Source organism: Homo sapiens, chromosome 14 (genome assembly GCF_000001405.40).
Source record: "Homo sapiens chromosome 14, GRCh38.p14 Primary Assembly".
Taxonomy (NCBI): Eukaryota; Metazoa; Chordata; class Mammalia; order Primates; family Hominidae; genus Homo; species Homo sapiens.
In genome coordinates, this window is record NC_000014.9 from 25,101,037 (window position 1) to 25,110,946 (window position 9,910).

Sequence of the window (9,910 nt, forward strand, 5' to 3'; positions counted from 1 at the left end):
GCTGAGGCGGGCAGATCATCTAAGGTCAGGAGTTCAAGACCAGCCTGGCCAACATGGTGAAACTCCACCTCTACTAAAAATACAAAAATTATCCCGGTGTGGTCGTGGGCACCTGTAATCCCAGCTACTTGGGAGGCTGAGGCAGGAGAATCGCTTAGACCCAGGAGGCAGAGGTTGCAGTGAGCCAAGATGGCACCATTGCACTCCAGCCTGGGAGACAAGAGCGAGACTCTGTCTCAAAAAAAAAAAAAAAAAAAAAATCCTATAATTGTAAGTGCTTAGGGAAATCTAAATCATAACAACAGCCCAGCTAGTCAAATGGCTAAGAATTTAAAAACTCAGTAATCCTAAGTGCTTATAGTAATGTGGAGTGAGTGAAACTATCACACATTGCCAATGCAAATGCAGATTTTTACTGCCTGATTGGAAAATGGTTTGGCAGTTTCTTTTAAAGTTATACATACACTTACCATATGACTTCAAAATCTCACCACTAGAAATTTACTGAAAAGAAATGAAAACACATCTTGCACACGAAGACTTGCACACAAATGTTTATATTGCTATTATTCATAATTGCCAAAATTGGCAGACAACGGAAATGTCTACCAACTGGTGCATGCATAAACCATATTGCAGCAAACCTATTCAATGGAATATTATTTAGCATGCAACAACACTGATGAATCTCAAATATATTAAAAGAAAGATGCCCGTTTCAAATGCTACATACTATAGGATTCCATTGAGATGTCCTTCCAGAAAAGGCAAAGCTATTAAGACACAGAGCAGATTGGTAGTTATCAGGCTCTGGCCTTGGAGGAAGAAAACTGATTACAAAGGACACAAAGAAACATTTGGAGTGATAGAAATGTTCTGTTTCTTGTTTGTGGTATTGTAAACACAACGGTATAAATTTGTCAGGATTTATAAAACGGTACACCTAAAAACATCGATTTTGCAATATGTATAATGCATCTCAATATCTTGATTTTTAAAAAGCTAAATGCGGCTTACAGAGGGAAGATAACTTGAGATTGAGTATCTTGTTTCTAAACATAAATTGTTGATGTGTTGGCAAGTACAACTTCTATCTTTAATAAAAGTTGCCGTGGATTCTCTCAACGATGCACACTTAAATGCAGACTAAAAGTAAATATTGATCTTTTGGGATTTATCTTCATTTTTCCTGTCTTCCTTTCCTTGGCTTTTAAAGATCACTTCACTAGAAAGAAAGATAAAGGATATTAGTTGTTATCTCTGGAAGTGGGATCACAGGATTAAAGAATTTTGTTCTTTATATATTTTTGTATTTTTCAATGATACTATGGTTACCATGTATTATTTTTATAATCAGAAAACATATTAAAAGAAGACAGTACCCCAAATTACCTTAAGATTGCTATTTGAAGATATCTGACTTTCCAGTGCTACACACGCAGAGTCACTCTCTTTCTGCCACCTATCTAATTTAGATTGGTTCCTAAGAGACTAACAGATGTTGGTCACCAAGTGGCTTTGCAACCAAAACAGTTACCCCAGGCGAGCCATGGTGAAAGTGATGCCTATTTCTGACTTGCACAAAATATGTCTTCACCCATAATACACACAATCTGTATGAAATATGGCCTGTCTTATGTTCAAATACATATACCTACTTAGACACAAATTTAAAAATTCCCATAAAAAATAAAAATAAATAAATAAATGAGGCCCAGCTAATATCTTCCTGGAACAAGACTCAAGTATTAAGGATTCAGAGAGCTTCACTCTTTCCCTGTTTTGCCTTGAGGGCACCTTTTGCAAGGGATAATGAAGTGTTCTCACTGATTCTCTATTTGGTTTCCAGACTTTGATGTGCTTAAATAAAAATTTTGGTGTTGCCTTTGATCCAGTGAAGCCTAGAGGTGCCCTCCCCTTCAGGGAGGAAGTAAGTGTTAGTTCAGCCTTGTATGACCAACAGCTTGGGTCAACAGCAGAGAGCATGGCACAGATGCTAGAAGCGAAGGCTTTGTTCACAGATAAACCTGAGTCCAAAGCATGTCTCTGTCATTTACTAAATGTGTCATCTTATGTATGCTGTATCTCTTCTTTAAGGCCTCACTTTACTCATTGGTAAAAGTGTTAAAATAATAATAGCTACCTCATAGGGTCATCATGACTCTCGAAAGAAATAATGCAAATAAATTATGCAGTACAGTGCCTGGCATAGATCATGTATTTACTACAAATTCACTGTTTATATATATAAGGAAGGAGGAAGGGGAAAATGTACAGATGTGTTCTACCATCTAGCAATAGAGAGGATGGCAAAGGAGGCCTAGTGTGCCTCTGGGTTAGTTTGCATGGAGTGTGGGGCTCGGAGGAGTGTGAGAAATGCATTTGGTGTGGAGCATGTGATTGGGTAAGAGAGGGCTTTAAAAGCTAGTTAGGGAAGTTAACTAGATATAAAAAGCTGTGGTATGTTTTTGAACACATTGTATTGCAAAATAGCAAAACGTAAGTGTAGGGTTTCCTTTCAGAGACTATGAAATTTCTTTTAAACATTACCGTGTACCAGGGACCATACCACGCCAGGGTAAGAATTATTCTACTCATTTTAAAGATGGTGATATTGTGGCCCAGTAAGATAAAAATTAGCCCCTGTTCACCTTTTAAATCCACCTCATCTATTAAATGGGGATTAAATCAGTGTGTGTGAGGGTAACACCAGAGCCAGCCTGTGAAAAGCACCTTCCACAGAATTGATGTTCAACAAGCACTAATGCCCCTTAATTCTGTGTTAGCTTTAAAGACTGGGCCTCTGTCCTATTCTCATGACCAAGCCCCAGGTTTGTCCAGTTCCACTCACCTCTTTGGTCCTGCCATGCTTGTGTCCCTGTGTGGATAACCTGCTCAGGATTTGATCATTTTCAGCACTGAGCAGCTTTCTCTAAACCCCACTTCATGGTTGTGACTGTGCTCCTCCTTCTAAGCTTTGTGGACAGGAACTGCCGGCCTCTGCTGGCCTGCCTGTCTGCTTTCATCTCTAAATGCTGCCATGCTTCAGCCTTTTGCTAGGACCCACAGTCTGATGGTTCTTTGACATGATTTCCTGCCGGGAATATCACCCATTGTCCAGTATGTACATGCATCTTTTCAAGTTGCTTTTCCAACAGTGGAGTTTGTTAAAAGTAGAGTTGCCTGGGCCCTATTCTAGACTAACTAATTTAGAAGTCCCCAAGATGTGGCCTGGAAATCTGTATTTTAAGAATGTTCCCGAGGTCGCTGGTAAGATGGCCGAATCAACACAGAAGGCGAGTGATTTCCGCATTTCCAACTGAGGTACCCGGCTCATCTCAATGGGACTGGTGAGACAGTGGGTGCAGCCCACAGAGGGCGGGCAGAAGCAGGGTGGGGCGTTGCCTTACCCAGAAAGTGCAAGGGGTCAGGAAACTCCCTCCACTAGCCAAGGGAGGCGTGAGGGTCTGTGCTATGAGGAATGATGCACTCCAGCCCAGATACTATGCTTTTCCCACAGTCTTCACAACCCGCAGACCAGGAGATTCCCTCGGGTGCCTACACCACTGGTGCCCTGGGTTTCAAGTACAAAACTGGGTGGATGTTTGTGCAGACACCAAGCTAGCTGCAGGAGTTTTTTTTTAATATCCCAGTAGCACCTGGAATGCCAACGAGAAAGAACCGGTCACCCCCCTGGAAAGGAGGCTGAAGCTGGGAGCCAAGTGGTCTAGCTCAGCAGATCCCAACCTCATGGAGCCCAGCAAGCTAAGATCCACAGGCTTGAAATTCTGGCTGCCAGCACAGCTGTCTGGATTTGACCTGGGACACTCCAGCTTATTGAGGGGAGGGGCATCCGCCATTACTGAGGCTTGAGTAGACCATTTCCCCTCACAGTGTAACAAAGGCTATTGGGAAGTTTGAACCCGGAAGAGCACACCACAGCTCCACAAAGCCACTGTAGCCAGACTTCCTCTCTAAATTTCTCCTTTCTGGGCAGGGCATCTCTGAAAAAAGGCAGCAGCTCCAGTCAGGGGCTTATAGACAAAACTCCCATCTCCCTCAGAGCACCGGGGGGAAGGGGCGTCTGTGGGTGCAGCTTCAGCAAACTTAAACATCCCTGCCTGCTGGCTATGAAGAGAGCAGAGGATCTCCTAGCACAGCTCTCAAGCTCTGCTAAGGGACAGACTGCCGGCTCAAGTGGGTGTCTGACCCCCATGCCTCCTGGCTGGGAGACACCTCCCAGCAGGGGCCAACAGACACCTCATATGGGTGAGCTCTGCCTGGCATCTGGTGGGTGCCCCTCTGGGACGAAGCTTCCAGAGGAAGGAACAGGCAGCAATCTTTGTTGTTCTGCAGCCTCTGCTGGTGATACCCAGGCAAATAGGGTCTGGAAGGGACCTCCAGCAAACTCTACCAGACCTGCAGCAGAGGGGCCAGACTAATAAAGAAGAAAAGAGAGAAGAATCAAATAGACACAATAAAAAATGATAAAGGGGCTATCACCACTGATCCCACAGAAATATGAACTACCATCTGAGAATACCATAAACACTTCTACGCAAATAAACTAGAAAATCTAGAAGAAATGGATAAATTCCTGGATACCTACACCCTCCCAAGACTAAATCAGGAAGAAGTCAAATCCCTGAATAGACCAATAACATGTTCTGAAATTGAGGCAGTAATTAATAGCCTACCAACCAAAAAAAAGCCCAGGACCAGATGGATTCACAGCCGAATTCTACCAGGGGTACAAAGAGGAGCTGGTACCATTCCTCCTGAAACTATTCCAAACAATTTGAAAAGAGAGACTCCTCCCTAACTCATTTTATGAGGCCAGCATCATCCCGATACCAAAACCTGGCAGAGACATAATAAAAAAAGAAAATTTCAGGCCAATATCCCTGATGACATCGATGAGAAAAATCCTTAATAAAATACTGGCAAACCGAATCCAGCAGCACATCAAAAAGCTTATCCACCATGATCAAGTCAGTTTCATCCCTGGGATGCACACGCAAATTCAACATAAGCAAATTGATAAACATAATCCGTCACATAAACACAACCAATGATAAAAACCACATGATCATCTCAATAGATGCAGAAAAGGCCTTTGATAAAATTCAACACCCCTTCATGCTAAAAACTCTCAATAAACTAGGTGTTGATGGAATGGATCTCAAAATAATAAGAGCTATTTATGACAAACCACAGCCAATATCATACTGAATGGGCAAAAGCTGGAAGTATTCCCTTTGAAAACCAACACAGGACAAGGATGCCCTCTCTCACCACTACTATTGAACATAGTATTGGAAGTTCTGGGCAGGGCATTCAGGCAAGAGAAAGAAACAAAGGTATTCAAAGATGAAGAGAGGAAGTCAAATTGTCTGTTTGTAGATGACATGATTGTATATTTAGAGAACCCCATCATCTCAGCCCAAAATCTCCTTCAGCTGTTAAACAACTTCAGCAAAGTCTCGGGATAAAAATCAATGTGCAAAAATCACAAGCATTCCTATACACCAATAATAGACAAACAGAGAACCAAATCATGAGTGAACTCTCATTCACAATTGCTACAAAGAGAGTAAAATACCTAGGAATACAACTTACAAGGGATGTGAAGGACTTCTTCAAGGAGAGCTACAAACCACTGCTCAGTGAAATAACAGAGGACACAAACAAATGGAAAAACATTCCATGCTCATGGATAGGAAGAATCAATATCATGAAAATGGCCATACTGCCCAAAGTAATTTATAGATTCAATGCTAACCCCATCAAGCTACCATTGACTTTTTTCACAGAATAAGAAAAAACTACTTTAATTTTCATATGGAACCAAAAAACAGCCTGCATAGCAAAGAACAATCCTAAGCAAAAAGAATAAAGCTGGAGGCATCATGCTACCTGACTTCAAACTATGCTACGAGGCTATGGTAACCAAAAGAGCATGGTACTGGTACCAAAACAGATATATAGACCAATGGAACAGAATGAAGGCCTCAGAAATAAAACCACACATCTACAACCATCTGATCTTTGACAAACCTGAGAAAAACAAGCAATGGGGAAAGAATCCCCTATTTAATAAATGGTGTTGGGAAAACTGGCTAGCCATATGCAGAAAACTGAAACTGGACCCCTTCCTTAAACCTTATACAAAAATTAACTCAAGATGGATTAAAGACATAAATGTAACATTTAAAACTGTAAAAACTCTAGAAGAAAACCTAGGCAATACCATTCAGGATATAGGCATGGGCAAAGACTTCATGACTAAAACACCAAAAGCAATGACAACAAAAGCCAAAATTGACTAATGGGATCTAATTAAACTAAACAGCTTCTGCACACAAAAGAAACTATCATCAATGTGAACAGGCAACCTACAGTTTGGGAGAAAATTTTTGCAATCCATCCGACAAAAGGCTGATATCCAGAATCTACAAAGTACTTAAATAAATTTACAAGAAAAAAACAACCCCATCAAAAAGTGGGCGAAGGATCTGAACAGACACTTCCCCAAAAAAGACATTTATGTGGCCAACAAACATATGAAAAAAAGCTCATCATCACTGGTCATTAGAGAAATGCAAATCAAAACCACAGTGAGATACCGTCTCATGCCAGTTAGAATGGTGATCATTAAAAAGTCAGGAAACAACAGATGCTGAAGAGGATGTGGAGAAATAGGAACATTTTTACACTGTTAGTGGGAGTGTAAGTTAGTTCTACCACTGTGGAAGACAATGTGTTGGCGATTCTGCAAAGGTCTAGAACCAGAAATACCATTTGACCCAGCAATCCCATTACTGGGTATGTATCTAAAGGATTATAAATCATTCTCCTATAAAGACACATGCACATGTATATTTATTGAAGCACTATTCACAATAGCAAAGGCTTGGAACCCAAATGCCCATCAATGATAGACTGGATAAAGAAAATGTGGCACATATACACCATGGATACTATGCAGCCATACAAAAGAATGACTTCATGTCCTTTGCAGGGTCATGGATGAAGCTGAAAGCCATCATTCTCAGCAAACTAACACAGGAACAGAAAATCAAACACTGCATGTTTTCAGTCATAAGTGGGAGGTGAACAATGAGAACTCATGGACACAGGGAGGGGAACATCACACACTGGGGCCTGTCAGGGGTGGGGGGCTAGGGGAGGGGTAGCATTAGGAGAAATACCTTATGTAGATGATGGGTCGATGGGTGCAACAAACCACCATGGCATGTGTATACCTATGTAACAAACCTGCATGTTCTGCACATGTATCCCAGAAATTAAAGTATTTAAAAAAAAAAAAGAATGTTCCCCCAGGTGGATTCTGATACAGCTGTTTGGCAGGCTGGCCTCTGTGAAATAATGATGCAAATGTTTAGATCACATGGCCTCGATGGCCTATTGCAACTCAGTGAGTTCATTGTTGGCTCACCGTTGGGTTGGGTTCACAAATTAAATCCAGGTCAGTACACTGCTTTTCCTAGGAGTTTCTACAACTTCTTCAAGACAAACAGTGTTCAGTGTTCCCTCCACATCTCCTCTGGATGAACCCATCTTAGTGATGTCTATGTGATGTTACAAGTCCTGCAGGATAACTTGGAAGCTCATCTGCTACTGCAGCTAGCTTAGCATTTTCAACTTATTCTCATTCTAAGGTGCTTATGAGGCAGGACTCTTGCCGCATCTAAAGCATGACTGTCAAGCAAGTGGCATCTGTTGCCTATTATCAGAAGCAGAAGTAGGAGCACTTCTGCCCACTGCATCTTGGTATTGGAGTCTCCAAGGAAAACCCAAAGCAGTGAAGTACTGGATGGAGCAATGCTTCACTCATAAAGAAAAGAGATGGAGTGAGGTCAGCTTCAGTGGTAGGTATTGGTCCTCCATGGCCAGGGGGTCCCTCCTGGCAGCTGGCACAGGGTCATTGGCCTGCACACACCCCTCTTGTGCTATATTGGAAGAATGCCACTCCCTTTCCACAGGGAACAGATATAATCATGGGGTTGGCCAGGTGCCAAATAACACACATGCTTATGCAGAACAAAGGAGCATACATTGAGTCTGAAACAGGGAAAGATATTCCCACCCAAGGCGACAAGTCCAGCACAGGCCGTGAGGACTCTTTATCTCTTGGTAAGGAAGTATTTCAGGCCCAAGGCCCCATTCCTATCAGCTGAGAGGATGGCATGCTACTGACTTTCCTAACAGTGACCTTGCTTGTAGGATCCTGTGACTGTCACTGCCACAACCTAGTTTCAGATTTCCTCTTAGAAATGAAGATCTGCCCACATTCAAAGCTGTCATTATCAAAGCCATTTCTCTGAACTCTTCTGAAGAATAATCTTGGAACATCTGATATGTAATGTCTTTTAAATTACTATGGAAAAAAGACAGTCCTGTTTAGATTGAATTTTCCAGATTCATTAGCTACTGGGCTAGGTCTTACTGATACCCACTTTTGTTGACATACTAGAACTTTGTAAAAAATTGGTCTTCTAAACTGAAAACCTTGGAAACTTTTAAACATTGTCCTGAGTAGTTATTTTAGAATTTTGTATATTTGTATGTCTTTTTACGTTGCCTTTATATTAATATATGCCAGAGGTGCTGGGTATTTTATTCCTTGTCAGCATCTGTATTTGTGTACTGTGGAGAGTTCCCATGGTAATAATAAAAAGATAATTTTATTAAATACCAATTTATCCCTTGACAGTTTCAATGCTACTCAGAACAAGATAGGTTTTGTAAGTTCTGGTTTCACAGACTTGTAAGTTTCAACATTTTCTGTATTGTAGAAATCAGTATCCCTGAACGCATAATGATAATTAAAATGCCTTAGAAATCCAGTATAACCAAGAATATCCTGGCATGAAGTATTAGGTCATCAATTTGTGAGGAACATTGAGAGGAATTGAGATGGAATTAGGTATAATCACTCAAACAACAGTAGGACAGGAGGACTTGGAGAGAGAGTTTGTCATTGTATCTGTGACTGGGGATATTTTGGTTTGCTTGCCATGTCAGTGCCTTATTCATCAGGGTAAATATTTTGCCCCATCTAATTATTCTTGGGCTGCTATATCCTTGCTCCCCAGATGTAAATCCCAGGCCGTATCTGGAAAAGACTGAAGTAACAACAAAGTCTGCTTTAGTTGCAGGCATGCTGAATGTTGGCCACAATAGACAGCCTCGTTGAATGAACATTTAGGACATAGTGAGACAATGGGACACATGAAAAGATTTATCTGGCCAACCACTTATTCCCTTGCCAGTGAATCTCCAGTAAAAAATGTGTCTTGTGTGACTCTAAAGTAACATGCAGTCTTTTCATGAGTTTATAGACACTTTTAAATAGAACAATGAGAGAAGAGGGTATTTTACCTTGTTTCAAGATGGGAAGATCTGGGGTTAAGGGTGGTCAGAACATACTTTTGAAGTAGGTTTACCAAAGAGGACTTCCATTCAATTCAGAAAGGAACTGAGTATGTGCAGGAAGAGAAGCAGAGTTTGAGAGAGGCTTCGGAATTGAGAGAACTGGAGGTATGCCTTCCATGGGAACTTCAGAAAGATAGCTCACATTTTTATTAGGGAGTATTCAGACCTAAGTTCCAAAAACAATTAATATGTTCTCCCTGCTTTTTAATTTGTCAAAGAGACTCTAAAATTTAATTCCTTAATTATTAGGTCTCAAAAACGTTTATTCCTATAGACCATAATAGTTGCCAATTAAAGTGGAATTAATTTTCAAATATTAAAATGCATTTGAAACTATTCATATTAATTCTGAAGCAACAAAAGTAAAACAGGACAAGTCATTGAAGAAAAAAATGTACGATACCTCTTACTGCATGCTAAATAAAGCAAATTTAAAATTTGACATTAACTA